Below are 16451 nucleotides of genomic sequence, written 5' to 3' on the forward strand. Positions count from 1 at the left end.
ATGGCACTGGCCTTCTGGAAGCTTGGAGAGGAGTCTTACCCAAGCTTTGCTCCTAGACATTAAACTTCCCAGCTGGGCACTAACATGTGGCTGCAGAACCTGCCCTTGCTCAGTCTGTCCCTGGTGCAGCTGCTGGGAGAGCCTGCCTCGAGGCAGAGCCAGCAGAGCTCTTGAAGAGCTGGTTGTGCTCCTCCTCAACCCCACCCCCACAGGCTGCCTTCGACCAGCGCATGAAGACATGGCAGCGCTGGCAGGATGCCCAAGCCACACTGCAGAAGAAGCGGGAGGCCGAGGCTCGGCTGCTGTGGGCCAACAAGCCTGATAAGCTGCAGCAGGCCAAGGACGAGATCCTCGAGGTGAGTCCACTGAGGCAGCCCAGCCAGGGGTGTTCTGCTGGTTCCAAATGAACCCAGGGCCCATCCCACCCAGAGGTTTGGAACCCCACAGGGGGAAGAGCGCTGATTGAGTCTAAAGGGCCGTGGCTGCTGAGGAAGCCTCTGAGAATGACTCCAGGCCTTCCTGAGGCCTAGTCCCCCTGTTCTTTTTCTACTCTACGCAGACTTGTCAAATCAGAATCTCTGGCCCGGCATGGTGGCTCGCGCCTGTAATCCTAGCACTTTGGGAGGCCAAGGTGGGCGGATCACTTGAGGTCAGAGGTTTTTTTTGTTTGTTTTTGTTTTTGTTTTAGATGGAGTCTCGCTCTGTCAACAGGCTGGAGTGCAGTGGCGCGATCTCAGCTCACTGCAAGCTCTGCCTCCTGGGTTCACGCCATTCTCCTGCCTCAGCCTCCCAAGTAGCTGGGACTACAGGCTCCTGCCACCACACCTGGCTAATTTTTTGTACTACCGTGTTAGTAGCCAAGATGGTCTCGATCTCCTGACCTTGTGATCCACCTGCCTCGGCCTCCCAAAGTGCTGGGATTACAGGCGTGAGCCACCGCGCCCGGCCGAGGTCAGGAGTTTTAGACCAGCCTGGCCAACATGGTAAAACCCCATCTCTACTAAAAATACAAAAAATTAGCCAGGGCTGGGCACGGTGGCTCACGCCTGTAATACCAGCACTTTGGGAGGCCAAGGTGAGTGGATCACGAGGTCAAGAGATTGAGACCATCTTGGCCAACATGGTGAAACCCCGTCTCTACTAAAAAAAATACAAAAATTAGCTGGGCGTGGTAGCACCCACTTATAGTCTCAGATACTCAGGAGGCTGAGGCAGGAGAATCGCTTGAACCTGGGAGGCGAAGGTTGCAGTGAGCTGAGATCACGCCACTGCACTCCAGCCTGGCAACAGAGCAAGACTCTGTCTCAAAAAAAAAAAAAAAAAAATTAGACGTGATGGCACACGCCTGTAGTCCTAGCTACTCAGGAGGCTGAGGCACGAGAACCGCTTGAACCTGAGAGGCAGAGGTTGCAGTGAGCCAAGATCGCACCACTGTACTCCGGCCTGGATGACAGAGCGAGACTCCATCTCAAAAAAAAAAATCTTGGCAGGAGGGGTCCTGGCTGGGTCTTTGAAAAGCTACCTAGCTGATTCAGATATGCCTTCTCGTGAGAACTAAATTAAGTTTTCCAGGCCTTTCAGCCCTGCTGGTGAGTACCTAAACTGGAGGCTGCTGGCATGTCAGAGCCTTCTTGAAGGACCACACTTGGTCCCAGATGCCTGAAACACAGGCATCTCTTTTCCAGTCAGCCCCTAAAGTAGCCTTCTGCCGGACTCTGACTTACGTGTGGAATCCTCTGTGACACCTCATCTTACCCACAGGGACAGACAGACATAATGATCAATTGAGCCCTCATATGTAAAATCGCTGTCCAAATGTGAAGGCTTAATAATGGTGCCATAATATGAGGTGATCCTTTCTTTCCTCTTTCTTCCCAGTGGGAGTCTCGGGTGACTCAATATGAAAGGGACTTCGAGAGGATTTCAACAGTGGTCCGAAAAGAAGTGATACGGTTTGAGGTGAGATAGAAAATCCTACTTCTCACTTAGCATGCAGTGCTTGTTTTGGGAGTACTCTTGGTGTTGTCCAACTCTGTTGGGTAAAGAGAGAGGTGCCAGTAACTTGGCAGTTCTCGTGAGCAGGCGTGGCCTTCTTTGGGGGGGTGTGTGCTTGATCCTAGGAACAGTGGCAATCTTACACTTGTGGCTGGACCACAGCAGTTAAACACAAATCTTGCAGCTGCCATATACCCTCGGTCCCCTGTCGTTTCTCCTCCACTTCCCATCTCCTGCCCTCCAACAAAGCCTTTCAAGGCCTTGGCAGACCCTCTTTGGCTGGAAATTACAGCTGTTCCACCTGCTGCCTCTACTTTCTGAGACTGTGTTTGGCCTTGGTCAGCAATAAACACCACCATCCCATCGAAAGGGAAAGCAAAAACTGGATGGTCAGTGTAGAATCTTGTCTCCTAGAAAGAGAAATCCAAGGACTTCAAGAACCACGTGATCAAGTACCTTGAGACACTCCTTTACTCACAGCAGCAGGTATGTAAGTTGTGTGTGACCTTCATCCTCTACTGCCTGCTCCAAAGGCCAGCTGCCTCCTCGGGGCTTCTGCAACAAGATGTGCAGGCCCTGCTTCTGAGGGGCTGGGCCCTCCTATAGTCCATCATTGAAAATAGGTCCTGCTGCTCTGACATGGAGCATCCAACAGGGTCTTTTACCAAGCAGGAGGGCCCAGGTCTGCTGCCCTCATTCTGAGGTGAGTTAGTTTTTGAGGACAAACCCCATCTCCCTGTAACTGCTTACCCTTCGAGGAGCCACCCCATGGTACCACCTGGCCCTCCTGAGGCTGAGGCCTCATCGGTATGTGAAACAGTGGCCCCACTGTGAGGAACTAACTGAGCCAGGCAAAGCTGTGGCCACCACAGGGGTGCTCCCTCTGGGGTGGAGCCAAGACTGTCTTCAGAGACTGCCCTTGCACTTGGGGCTCAGTAACTGCTGCCTTCCCTGTCGAGAGGGAGGTGTGAAGGTCATGTGGCCTGTGCAGCTGCTCGGAGCCTGCCTTTGTGTGGCAGGCGCTTGGGGAGCGCCAGGGTACTGTGCTTGATTCCTCCCAGGCTGGCTTAGGCTCTGCCACTAGGTGGGGGCACTTGCTTAATGTCCCCACTTCTTTGCAGCTGGCAAAGTACTGGGAAGCCTTCCTTCCTGAGGCAAAGGCCATCTCCTAATGGACCAAGGACCCCAGAGCCCACCTGTGTGACGCTGCCTTTTTATACACTGTCCTCCTCCACCTTGATGGACCCCTAGTGATGCATCCTGCCTAGGCTGGACTTAACCCCTTCCTCCCTGTCCCCACGACCAACTGTCCCCAGTTACTCTAACCGTTATTTCATTTAGCTTCCATATATATTTTCTTACCTAAGAGAATAGTTTCCTGCTTTAAGCAAAAGACCTACAATAGGTGGTGGAATTATGGGATGGGGTGGAGTATTGATATAAATATATAAATACAAATGTATATTTTTCAGGATGTGGTTTAGGAACTGGGAATAACGTTTTCTGTTACTCCTGATGGTGCCATGAAAAGGTTATGTAATAAAATATTTTAAAATCAGGTCACATGACTCAGAATGTTGGTGGTTTTTGCTTAGGCTGGGGAGCAGTTGGGAATCAGGTCTGGAATACTCCTAACCAAGAAGTTGCCCAGGTATAGTAAGTTTTTCTCTACCGTTCACAAGTTTTGTGCTGCTGCTTCCCTCTGGAAATGGGGTTTCTTTCTCTCCGCCTACCTCAGCTACCTGTTCTGAGGGTCTCAATCTGTTTCGTATTCCCACTTCTTTAGGGAAGGAGTTTTAAAAACATCTCTTAAAATAAGAGGAGCAAAATCTATTAAAACCTATTCTCCTGCAAAGGAGGCAGAGACTTTCTCTCTCTCTTTTTTTTTTTTTTTTGGTGTCCCTATCATTAAGCAAGAGCCTTTCTCTTTTATTCTTCCTGCTTCCCTAAGCTGCTCAGGGTTCTCTGAGTCTTGCCCTCTGATGGCAAGTCTTATATATAACTAAACCTATTTTTGTCACCCATCAAAACACATCCTCAGTAGACTGTGTGAAGGTGTGAAGGTCTGATAATGACTTGATGCTTTGTCTCCATAGACATGAAAGCCATGCCCTCTGCCTCTAGATAGGGTGATCCAAGAGCTCCTGAACCTTAGGAGGTTCAAAGAAGCTCTACTGTCTGTGCCCAGGAGGTAGCCTGCCAGCAAGAGCCCTCAGGAGTTGCACACACAGCCAAAGGGTGTTCACACAGATCTCTGCCGGTCTAGCCAGGGGAGGCCAGAGTCTCGTCAGTCAAGGATGGGCTTCCCCCTTAGCTGTGTCCACAGCTGCTCAAGCTATACTGGTCAGAGTGGGCTTTGAAGCTCCTTTGTGAGCTCGAGCTGCTGACTGCCACTATGGGAGCCTTGCCACCTCCAGCCCCTCCATCCCAAAGACGCTCCTGCCACTGGGGCCCCAGGTCCTGCTGTATCAGTTCTCTTTGGTGGGGGGCTAAGGTTTGGGGCGAGGCAACCTGAGACAAGAAAACGCAGTAAACATTCTGATTCCCTGTACACAGATGCAGCACCAGGGGAAGGGCCAGTGGTGCAAGTATTTCTTTTTAACAGGTGAAGTTTTTGGAAAAAGTCACTCTCCCTACCCCTCAGTATCCTTACCATCAACTTTGGTTTTATCCTTCCAGTCTTTATTATATGCTTGCTTTTACATAGTTGTAATAATATACACATAAAGTATTTTGTATCCTGCTTTTATCATTCAACATTGTACATGTTATAAGCATTTTACTATATTGTTATATATCTTCACAAAGTTGATCTGTAAAGCTGTGTAATTTGAAGGCATCCATAGGGTGACTGTACCATAATTTTGATTCATCCCTTGTTGTTGGATTCTTGGTCAGGGGTTGTTTGTTTTGTTTTATTGGTAACTTTAAAATTTTGAATACAATTTCAGATTTACAGAAAAGTTGCAGGAATATCACAAAGAACTCCTATATATCTTTTATCCAGATTTACTGAGTGTTTACATTTTATCCCATTTGCCTTATCTATATTTCATGTTGCATTTTCTTAATCATTTGAGAATAATTTGCACAGATACCCCATTATGCCCAAAACAGTATGCATTTCCCTAAGAACAGGACATTCTCTTCTAAGAGAAGAAGAGAATTACTTTAAGCATTATTCAGTATTTTTTTAAGTATTATTATCAAAATCAGGAAGTTTAACAGTGATTTAATACTGTTATCTAACCCATGATTCATATTTAAATTTTGCCATTTATCCCAATAATGTCCTTTGTAGCCATTCTTTTACCTTGTGCAGGATCATGTTACATTTGTAAACGTGTGTCTCTCAATACTGCAGATTCCTCAACTTTCTTTTGTCTTTCATTACCATGACATTTTTGAAGAATACAGGCTATTTTGTCGAATGTTCCTCAGTTTGGATTTGTGTGATGGTTCCGCATGACTAGGTGAGGGTTTTGCATTCTGGGTGGGAATATCACAGAAGCAGTGTGTCGTCAGTGCGTCGTAATCAGCATATAATGTCAGTTGGTCCCATTAATGTTGTTAACTCTGTTCACCGCTTAGGTTGGTGTCTGCCAGATTTCATTTTAAATTTACGATTTCCTCTTTGTAATTTACAAGTAATTTGTGGGGAGATACTTTGAGACTATATAAGTATTTTGTTCCTCATTCACCAGTTATATAGTATCAGTTGATTAGTCTTGTCCCAGTTATTACTGTCATGATTGACCAACATGATTTCCTAACTCCATAATGCCTTCTACATTTATTGGTTGACATTCTACATACAAAGAAAAACATCCTTTCTCACCATTTATTTATTCACTTGTTTATCAATATGGATGCAGGGATTCCTGTTTTACTCAGAGTTGCAAGCCATTGCTTTGATTTTATCTTGATTCTCAAATTGTCCCAGATTTATAGCGGCCTCTTGTGTGTTTGTAGCTTGCTCCCATCATGTTTTGAGTACTTTCTTACCTTCTGGCATAACAAGATGTTCCAGGCTCATCTTGAATGTTCCCTACCCTAGCCCTGGAATCAGCCATTTCTCCAGGGAGTCTTGGTTCCTTATAATGGAGAATGGTATTTATTTATTTTTATTTGATTTGATTATTATTACTATTTTTGAGACAGAGTCTCGCTCTTGTCGCCCAGGCTGGATTGCAATGGCACAATCTCAGCTCACTGCAACCTCCACCTACCAGGTTCAAGCAATTCTCCTGCCTCAGCCTTCCAAGTAGCTGGGATTACAGGTGCCTGCCCCCACACCCAGCTAATTTTTGCATTTTTGGTAGAAATGGGGGTTTTACCATGTTGGGGAGGCTGGTCTCGAACTCCTGACCTCAGGTGATCTGCCCACCTCAACCTCCCAAAGTGCTGGGATTACAGGTGTGAGCCACCATACCCAGCCAGAGAATGTTATTTAGAAACCAAGATCTGGGTGCCAAATGTGCTGCTTGTTACTGGAATGTCATTGCCTCTAGGCTCTCACCATACAGTGCAAAGAGATGATAGATAGATAGATAGATAGATAGATAGATAGATAGATAGATGATAGATATAGATAGATAGATAGATTGATTGATTTGTAGAAACAAGATAGGTTAGAGATACCTGACATAAATAGATACTAAAAATCATGAATTCACACTGATGCTTTGAGACCAGCCCTGTAGGTTTATTCCAGTCTGCCCCCTTTTCCATGTTGTTAACTCTTTCCTCCAGAGAGACAAAGATTTCAGGTTGCTTTGTTAAGTTCCATCTAATGATCATTCTGACGTAAGTCTGTTTTTCTTATTTCCTTGGAATGATGTCTCCTCTGGTTTCAGAACTTCCTCCTCTGCTTCCTGTATCCTGAGGCTGGCGGGGCCAGTTGTCTTTAGGGCTTGTGCATTTTTGTAAAGAGCTTGCACGTGTGGAAATCAAGTAGGCCAGTAGTGGGTTAGGGGTACTGAGCCAGAAGCCTCTACAAGGAATAACAGGAGCACAAAGGAAGAAGGTGGTATTCCAGCTGGGGACCCAGGAGGGAGGACTTTGTGGAGAACCTGATGCTTGAACTGAGTCTAAAAGGTGTAAAAGTGTTTGTTGCTTCTGCCTCCCTGTCTGTCTGGCAGGGTGAGGTAGGCGCATCTAGGGAAATGTCAAGTGGCTTGGTGTAGGGTAAAGTCAGTGAGGCCCATGGAGAAAAACGAGCAGGAGCCACATCACATGGGTGTCTGATAGGACCTGGGAGGCGCTTTCCACATTACCATTGTCGCTTCGTGATCTGGACACACCAGAAGGCGTGAGACTGGAGGCAGGAAGAGCAGCCAGGCTTATCCCTACCCTCAGGAGAGCTGAAAAGGGCAGGTATGGTGGGGCCAGAGCTCAGGAGAGTTTCGGAACCACTGAGATCGGTCCTTGATTTGATGAGAGGCTTGAGGGGAGAGGGAGGTAGCTAGGATGCCCCGCAAGCTTCTGGCCCAGACACTGGGCAGACAATGAAACCCTTTGTAACACATGAGGCAATAGGTTTGGGGCAGATGGGAGGGGAAGCAGTGGTGGGGGCAGTGAGTGCTGAAGGTGTTTTAAGAAGCGGCTCTGGGCCAGGCACAGTGGCTTATGCCTGTATTCCTAGCATTTTGGGAGGCCGAGGTGGGAGAATCACTTGAGCCCAAGAATTTGAGACCAGCCTGGGGAATATAGTGAGACCCTGTCCCTACAAAAATAAAAACAACTAGCTGGGTGTGTGGTGGTGCATGCCTGTAGGCCCAGCTACGCGGGAACATCACCTGAGCCCAGGAGGTTGAGGTTGCAGTGAGCTACAGTTGCGCCACTGCACTCCAGCCTAGGTGACAGAGCAAGATCTTGTCTCAAAAAAAAAAGCAGCTCTGGATGGGAAGGGAGGCCAGTTGCTTTAAGTAGGGGAGATAGAGTTAAAGGAGGCTTTGTTTTATTTAAAGGTGGGACAAACTTAAGCATGTTAATAAAATTCAGAGAAGAGAAAGAGAATGACTATCAGAGCCATGTTTGGAAGAAAATGGGGTCCAGAGCACAGGAAGGGGACCTGTGTTCAGAGGGTGCCTCACTGCTGAGGCCACAGGAAAGAATCTGTAGGTGGAGGGGAGGCCGAAGAGGGGAAGTTTCATGCTTGATAATTAAAATTTTCTGAGATAGGAATGTCATATTTACCTATTTAAGCCAAGTTTTTTTAGATAAAAGGTATGGAACCTGCTTTCCCCTTGGCTAGTTCAGCGTTTGGGCTCCGGAGTGCTGAAGATGAGGACTGGACTTCGAGCTGGTGTGATCCCAGTATTCAGTGTCAGTACTCAGTGACAAAATAAATGAGAGAAACGGGAATAAGAATTGTCGCCTACACAAAAATACCAGCAACTGTTAACTCTTCCCAGAAGATTTTCATTCTGAATGCTCCTGTAGCTAGGAACCCTAAAAAGTCTTTGAAGCAACTCAAGTTTTAAAAAAGGGGAGGAACTCCTGGAAATCTCAGGATGGGGCCAAGATGTGGCTGGAGAGTGTGTGGTGATGGAGGGCGTGTCTTTTGCCGAGCACACTCAGGGCCCACGGGAAGCCCATAGACTTCAAGGACATCAAGCCCCAAGGTGGTGGGATTTTCCCCACCAGTACTTGGCAGCCTAGGGGGAAGGGGAGGGCGGGAGAAGATAATGGGGATCCCTGGCTCCAAACATAGGAGGACACATCTGTGCTACAGTGCGCACATGCCTGGATGTACACTCTGTCTTTGGAGACACTGGCTAAGATTCTCTGCTCCATGTTTGGACAGGGTCGTGCCTGATCTGAGATAAATGGACAAGAACAACTGAAGCCTGTCTTCTGGTGCATGTGTCACCTGCCGATAACTGCATCTTGTGATAAAGTTGGGTGATTTACAGTCTCCACCAAATGCTAAACTCTGGGGTCTTACGCCTTTATAACTCCATGGGCCCCAGCAAAGGTTCAGGCTCAAAACAGGTGTCAAATAGATAACTGTTGAATGATTGTTCCCCAGTTGCAGGCTCTGCCACCTGGCGTTCATACTGTCTGTGAAAGGACCCAGCTCACCTTTCCCTCTTTATCTCCCAGTCCTTCCCAACAGCGCCGACACCTCATGGAAACTGATTGCAAATGTGCTACTTCTCACTTCTGTGTGGCCCGAGGAGGCTGGGTTAATGCTGGGCTTGGTACCTTAAGCACCCTTTCTCCCTTCCCCATCTTCATTCTCAGAATTACACCTGTCTGAAGCAGGCATTTTCCAATGCCCTAGATGGGAATATAAGTGTAAGGAGATGTGAAGCATTTGCCTGTGTGTCAGAACATTCACTGAGGATCCTCATAGGCACTTCTAGAAACCAAATCCTTGAAGATGACTAACCAGAAATGCCCGTCATAGCACTGTTTACAGTTGCAAAAACTGAAGCCAATTGAAATGTCCATCAGGAGGGGATTAAATGAATTATGGTACAGTTACACCGTTGAATATTTTACAGCCATTGAAGATGATATATAGCTATATTCATTGACAAGGAAAACTCATATTTTTTAGTGAAAAAAGCAGGTTATAGAATTGCATGATATTCACATTTATATAAAACTTTATATATGGGAAGGATGTTGATTGAATTGTTAATAACTATGGTCACCTCTAGAGATGGAAGTTTGCATTACCTTTAATTTTTAATACCATTTTGTATTGCTTAAAATTTGTATGTATTATCGTTAAAATAAGAAAAATCAAATAAAGCTATTTTCATTATGGGAAAACAATCCAGTGCATCCTTTGAGGCCCGCATCACATATCTGTTCTTTGGGCAGCTTCCCCTGATCCGCCCTCTGCCCTACCCCGGACTGGAGTTGGGCCCTGCGTCTGTCGTCCTCTTCAGCCTCTGGTCTTCCTCTCCTGTGTGGTGTCAGCTCTGAGGCGGTCTCTGTAGCCTCCTGAGCTCTGGACTCCCTGGGGTCCTGGGCTGCACTGTCTCTGCTCATCCTGGTGTCCTCCACCACCTGCACAGGAGCCTCCGGGGCAGTGGCTGCTCCTCGGCTCAAGATCATTGCCATACAAGCCTGTGGGTCACTGAGGCCAGATCTGGGGATTTTTCAAGAGATCCGGAAATCTGGCCTAATTTGAGGTTTAATAGGCCTCACCGTGGTTGGTAAGACTGGTGCTCAGTGTGCTGGGGAAGCCTGCAGGCCCCACAAGTCTTGCCCAGACAGGCCTTTCACCCCTTTGGCCCTTGTCTGTTGTGGAAATGCTCCTCTGGCTCTGATGACCAGACCTCGGGGCAGAAAACTTCACCCACCCAAGGCTGCTCAGAGGAAGCCAGCTGCTCGCCTTCCACAGGATGCTCTTTGTCTGGGTCCAGAAAAGAAACAGAAAAACCCTGTCCAATCCGAGACAGGACCTTTCCATAAAGAGATGTGACTGTTTCCAAATGACTGCCCCTTCGGGGCTTCAGAGCTCGCTGCTTCCTCTTCCATTATGAGCTGCAGTGGCGATAGCCACAGGGGCCCAACACGCAGGTTTCACTGGCAGCCTCTCAAGAAAAATAGACGAGGCTCCTGCGGCCAGGAGCATGTTCCGCAGCAGGGGACAGACTGCCCATGACCGCCCCTTCCCACTCGTGGGCCTAATTATTAACTATAGTAAGAACTGCCTCTGGGCCCTGAGATAGCTCACATCCAGCACTGTCACCCTGCAGGGTGCACTCATGACCCACACTAAGGACAGGTTCAGGGAGCTGAAGCAGCTGGCCCAGGTCACACCCCATAGCTAAGATGAACTCAAGCTCTTAGCATGGCCTCTCTGCCACACCCTATCCCACACACTGTAGACATTTAGACGGGGACAGACAAGAGGAACCTGGAAATCAACCCACTAAGTTTTGTTTTTTTGTTGTTGTTTGTTTGTTTTTTGAGGTGGAGTTTCGCTCTTGTTGCCCAGGCTGGAGTGCAATGGTGCCATCTCAGCTCACCGCATCCTGCGCCTCCCGGGTTCAAGCGATTCTCCTGACTCAGCCTCCCAAGTAGCTGAGATTACAAGCACGTGCCACCATGCCCGGCAAATTTTGTATTTTTAGTAGAGACAGGGTTTCTCTATTTTGGCAGGCTGGTCTCGAACTCCCAACCTCACGTGATCCGTCCGCCTCGGCCTCCCAAAGTGCTGGGATTACAGGCGTGAGCCACCACACCCGGCCCTAAGTTGTTTTCTTAAAGACCTGAAGGCATCCACACAGTAGGCCTGTTAAGGACAAGTCCCATTTGGATACCCACCTGACCTGGTAAGCATTGGAGCTTCTCTGACCCCTGCAAGACATTCTTTCCCCAGATGGGCAGGGGTTGCCCAGTGGAGTAGTAGCAGAGGCTGGAAGACAGAAGCATCTTTGGTGAGTAGCTGGGGACCTTAATGGCAGACATGAAAAACTCCACTTGCTGAGAAGCCACCGCCAGCACCCTGGGGACAGCTAGCATATGAGGCAGGGCCACCTCCCTTCCAGACCTCGAGGCCTGGAGCTCCTGCCCATCCTGGCTTCTGCCTGTTGCCCCAGTTCTTGGTCCCTCAGCTCTCTTCACAGTGAACCCCTGTTACTTGAGGGACCCAAGTGTGTCTTTGTTTCTTGAACCCCAGTGCTTGGCACACCAGAGGGGCCACTTGGTTGATTGGCTGACATGGCTCTGAAAGGCACTGGGAGTTGCTGTATCACCACACGCAGCCTGGAGAGCTGTGCCGTCAAAGTGGTGGGGTGGCCTCTGCCAGCTCTCCCTGTGCCAGACCTGAGTCGTGTTGTCTGAAGCAGCTGAGCTGCCGCTGTCCTATCTGGGCAGGGGACAGGAGACTCCTAGAAGTGACATTGCTGGCTGGAGCCCCGGGTTTGGGGCCTGCCTGTCCTGGACCAATTTTTGCTCTAAGGACTTGGGCAGGACATGCTTGTCAGAGGTGCGTTCTAACAGCTGCTTCCAGTACCCACCACTCCCTCACGCCTGGCTTCCCCCGGTTGACAGAAGTGAAGAGTTTGGACCAACTCAGTAACAACGCTTTTTAGTAGCACTCTTTTTAAAAGACACGTTACACCAAAATCTAATAAACATAAAAATGATGTTTTTAAATGTTATATTTATTATTTCCGTTTATAAAATGTACTTATTAACAAGGTAATCAGTAGGAACTCTGTGAACAGTAGGAGGCTGTTTTGATGAACAGCATAGTTGGTGATTTATATCAACCTCTGCTTCCAATTTATTTCTTTACTATTTTTGGTTGCACAATATGGAGGAAATCAGAAAAATCCTTATTGCAGTGTTAGTAGTTGAAATTGTTAATTTTTTTTAAGCTAACCTTGCAGTCTCAGGGTACGGAAGAAATAGAATCTGCTTTTGTTGTCAATGAGTCAGTATCCATCAGGATGAACCATGTCATTGGTAAGACCTTGCCGTTTTTTGCCTACGAAAACGGCAAATTCACATAATTCAGTCAATAATAGCTAACATCTCTCTGCTGTGTGCTGGGCCCCATGCCAAACACTGTGGAAGCTGCAGTCATTTAATCCACACACCACTCTCTGTTGTGTGAGGACCCTGAGATAAGGACAGATAAGGACCCTGAGCCTCAGGGGGGTTGTCCAAGGTGATGCCGGTGACCAGAGCTGGGCTGGGGTGGCGCAGGCAAGGTTCACCATGGCTCAGACAGCCCCCAGTGGCTGGGCCCCTCCTGGCCAGTCCACCCCTCCGCTGCCGCCCGCCCAGCCCGGGCCCAGAAAAGAATCCAGCCTCTGTGCCCCGTGGCGCCCACAAGCTCGTGGCCCAGGGGCTGTTTGTTTTCTTAACGAGGTTGACCAAACCTCCTGAGCAGCCTTTGTGGCGCAGCAGAAGCCTTGCCGGTGAAAGGGGGCTTTGTGTGACTGCAATGGAAGCCAGGGCCTGAGCTAAGGCAGGGTCTGTGGGCCAGCCTACCCGTGCGCAGGAATGGGGCGAGTCGGGGTACATCTTCACTCCCCAGCCCTTCCTGCCCTCTGCTCCTTGGTTCTATTTCCAAGTGGCAAACTGCCGGCTCTATGCCTGCATAGAGGAGCGAGTGGAGCCAGGCCCCCGGCGGGGCTGCTGCGGTAATCAGGAGACCGGTGCTTGCTTAGTGTGATCTCCAACCAGGAGCTTCAGGACCACCAGGGAGCTTGTTGAAGATGACCGCTTCAGGCTCCACCCCAGCCCAGCAATTAGAAAATCCAGGGCCAGGGCGGCCGGGCATGGTGGCTCACGCCTGTAATCCCAGCACTTTGGGAGGCCGAGGCGGGCGGATCACGAGGTCAGGAGATCGAGACCATCCTGGCTAACACGGTGAAACCCCGCCTCTACTAAAAATACAAAAAATTAGCCGGGCGTGGTGGAGGGCACCTGTAGTCCCAGCTACTCGGGAGGCTGAGGCAGGAGAATGGCGTGAACCCGGGAGGCGGAGCTTGCAGTGAGCCGAGATCACGCCACTGCACTCCAGCCTGGGCGACAGAGCCAGACTCCGTCTCAAAAAAAAAAAGAAAATCCAGGGCCAGGGCACTCAAATGTGAGATTTCACAGCCCTACAGGTGGTGGTGATGATTGCTAAAGTCTGAGAACTACTATAATCTAGTATTGAAATACAATCCATGTGCTAGATCGTGGTGGAGAAAAGACAAAAGCTTGTATCATAAAACAGCTCATTCTAAAAACAAGTTACTTTGAGGTCTGCACACCCATCATATAGAGTCTGGAACGTGGTGTTCATATGCTGAGCTGGCCAGCACTGAAGGCGTACAGAAAGCAAACTTTCTTTGATTGTAATAACTGCTATGGTATTTACATCATGTCATGCGTTCCTCTTTATAGGAAAATACTTGGCCGGGCACTGTGGCTCACACCTATAATCCCAGCAGTTTGGGAGGCCGAGGCAGGAGGATCAGTTGAGCCCAGGAGCTGGAGACCAGCTTGGGCAGCATAGTGAGACCCTGTCTCTATGAAACAAAACAAAACAAAAATTAGCCGGGCTTAATAATGCATACCTGTAGTCTCAGCTACTTGGGAGGCTGAGCGCTTGAGTCTGGCATGTCAAGGCTGTAGTGAGCCATGATTGTGCCACTGCACTCCAGTCTCAGCAAACGAGTGAGACCCTGTCTCAATAAATTAATACATAATTGATTTTAAAAAATTAGAAAATATTCTCCATACCTGTTTTATCTCCCCAAAGACATCTTAAATGCCTCTGTGTCAAGGATCTCGTTTTTCTTCTTTTGTACCTGCACTCTTGTGCGGTGGAACACTGTGCAATTAGGAGCTGCAGGTTCCCTATCACATGTTTGACAAGTCAGTTGCATGGAATCTCTTTCCACAACTGGTGATGAAAATCCACTGATCTGAGGCTTCCTGGAACACCTGAAAATTAAGTAAATGGAAAAAGTAGACAATGATCTGCCAAGAGAGAAGAGAGGAGAAGTGTGTTTAATTCTGGAGGTAGGAAGAAGATTCTTGTTGTCCCACCATGCAGGCAGCCTCTAACCCTTCAGCAGACGCTGCTCCTTCCCCTCCCTAGTTTTTTCTCAGCATACCCCCACTGCCCATTCATTCATATAGTCTTTCAATCACAAATATTATCCATATAGTCTTTCAACCCAAATGTTTTTGAGACACACAGTAACCAAACAATAATTGCAGACTGTAATATGTGCATAGAAAAGGTCATATGATAGGGTGGTCAAGAAGGAAGCCTCAGCTGGGTGAGGTGGCTCACGCCTGTTATCCCAGCACTTTGGGAGGTCAAGGTGGGTGCATAGCTTTAGCCCAGGAGTTCGAGACCAGCCTGGCCAACATGGCCAAACTCCGTCTCTACAAAAAATACAAAAATTAGCTGGGTGTGGTGGTGCGCACCTGTAGTCCCAGTTACTCAGGAGGCTGAGGTGGGAAAATCACCTAAGCTGCAGTGAGCCCTGTGGTTGCGTCACTGCACTCCAGCCTGGGTGACTGGAGTGAGGCCCTGTCTCAAAAAAAAAAACAAAAACAAAAACAAACAAACAAAAAAAAACCTTTTTGAGTTGAGTTTTAGGCTAAGAATTGGAGGATGAGCTCAATCCTTGAAGAGTCAAGGAAGGGTGCCCCCAGGTGGAGCAAACAGCCTAATGCAAAGGCCCTGAGGCAGGAAAGAGCTTGTCAGGTTGGAAGAGCCTAGTGCATGATGGGGAGAGGAGAGGAAATGAGGTGGAAGATGGAGGCTGGGCTGGGTTGTTTACAGCTTTGTGGATTGCATAGAGAGAGTGGGTTTTATTCTAAGTGCAGTGGGAAACATTGGAAGGTTTTAAGCACATGCCTTGATAACAGTTTGTGCTGCAGGGTAGAGAATGGACGTTCTATTGGGGATGAAGGCAGGAAAAAATGGAGACTCACAGACAGAGGGGCAGACAGTCATTAGGATGAGGACCAAGAAGTCTGAGGATCCCAGGAGAGGCCTCCCTGGACAGTGGGAGTTGGGGAGGCCCTGTAGGCCAGGGAAAGCTGGGTCCCTGAATGATGGGGCCGTAGGGAGGAAATGAAAGCACAGCACTTCTCCTCACTCTGGGCTGCTTTTCTTCTAGGGGACCCCACTAGAATCTGGGAAGTTTCAGCTTCCTGATTCTGTGGTCCTTGTGTGATGCAATTTGGAAAAAGAGAATGTGGGACATGATATTGGTGAGACCTGTTTGCCCCATTTTGGGGTCGTCATCTCAGCCCTTCTCTGGGGGCAGGGCTGGGGATGGAGGTTTTTTGCTCCAGCTCAGAGGCGTCTCTGCAGAAGCAGGGGAGGGGTGAGTCCCCTCAACCCCAGCCCCGAAGACAGGCACTCTGCTTCCTCCTGCCCACCCCAAGACCTCCCACTACGTATGAGCTTTGGAAGGCAGGGCCTCGCCTCTCTGCATGTCACGGGGCCTTTGTGGGGGAAGTCAGTGGAGTAGAGGACCTGCCATGGTGCTGCTGATAGCAGCTCTCCGACAGCTGAAGGGTGCAGGGCTGAGAGGTGGGAGCAGAGGTCCTTTCCAGCACATGGCCTGAGAGAGTTCTGGATCAAAATCCTGCCACATATCCAGGAAGAACCTGCCCGGAGGGGTGGACAAGAGCAACCCGGTGCCACCCCCCAAAGTCTCTCTTCCCATCCACTGCCCTGTGCCCACTTATCCTAGTCATCCAGGAGAAGCCCACAGTCAAGCTGCTGCTCAATGCTTCTGTTAAGGGCCTAACATGAATCATCTCACTTTTTTTTTTTTTTAAGACAGAGTCTTGCTGTTGCCCAGTCTGGAGTGCAATGGTTTGATCTCGGCTCACTGCAACCTCCGCCTCTCAGGTTCAAGTGATTCTCCCGCCTCAGCCTCCTGAGTAGCTGGGATTACAGGCATGTGCCACCACACCTGGTTGATTTTTGTATTTTTAGTAGGTACGGGGTTTCACCA

At 48.7% G+C, this 16451-nt stretch overlaps 1 protein-coding gene across 3 annotated transcripts in view, besides 4 other annotated features; it reads left to right on the top strand.

The window, feature by feature from the left end:
* The window catches only part of SNX1 (sorting nexin 1), a 48250-nt gene extending 38470 nt beyond the window's left edge, over positions 1 to 9780 (top strand). For 2 of the 3 annotated variants that reach the window (NM_003099.5, NM_148955.4), the window contains 4 exons: positions 213 to 356; positions 1879 to 1959; positions 2410 to 2481; positions 3117 to 9780. In NM_003099.5, the coding sequence (NP_003090.2) occupies positions 213 to 356; positions 1879 to 1959; positions 2410 to 2481; positions 3117 to 3167 (348 nt within the window). In that variant the 3' untranslated portion in view covers positions 3168 to 9780. The remainder of the gene's footprint in view (positions 1 to 212; positions 357 to 1878; positions 1960 to 2409; positions 2482 to 3116) is intronic. The other variant, NM_001242933.2, reaches the window with a different exon arrangement.
* Positions 9927 to 10236: an enhancer, noted in NCBI's record as "active region_9558". NCBI's record gives its function as "activates an Ori minimal core promoter by ATAC-STARR-seq in GM12878 lymphoblastoid cells {active_cell/tissue: GM12878}" and the evidence as "EXISTENCE:reporter gene assay evidence [ECO:0000049][PMID:35858748]".
* Positions 10257 to 10346: an enhancer, noted in NCBI's record as "active region_9559". NCBI's record gives its function as "activates an Ori minimal core promoter by ATAC-STARR-seq in GM12878 lymphoblastoid cells {active_cell/tissue: GM12878}" and the evidence as "EXISTENCE:reporter gene assay evidence [ECO:0000049][PMID:35858748]".
* Positions 11212 to 11728: an enhancer, noted in NCBI's record as "H3K27ac-H3K4me1 hESC enhancer chr15:64437862-64438378 (GRCh37/hg19 assembly coordinates)". NCBI's record gives its function as "activates a minimal SCP1, AML or CMV promoter by ChIP-STARR-seq in primed H9 embryonic stem cells {active_cell/tissue: H9 hESC(primed)}" and the evidence as "EXISTENCE:reporter gene assay evidence [ECO:0000049][PMID:30033119]".
* Positions 15939 to 16048: an enhancer, noted in NCBI's record as "active region_9560". NCBI's record gives its function as "activates an Ori minimal core promoter by ATAC-STARR-seq in GM12878 lymphoblastoid cells {active_cell/tissue: GM12878}" and the evidence as "EXISTENCE:reporter gene assay evidence [ECO:0000049][PMID:35858748]".

This window comes from Homo sapiens, chromosome 15 (assembly GCF_000001405.40).
Source record: "Homo sapiens chromosome 15, GRCh38.p14 Primary Assembly".
In the NCBI taxonomy this organism is placed as follows: domain Eukaryota; kingdom Metazoa; phylum Chordata; class Mammalia; order Primates; family Hominidae; genus Homo; species Homo sapiens.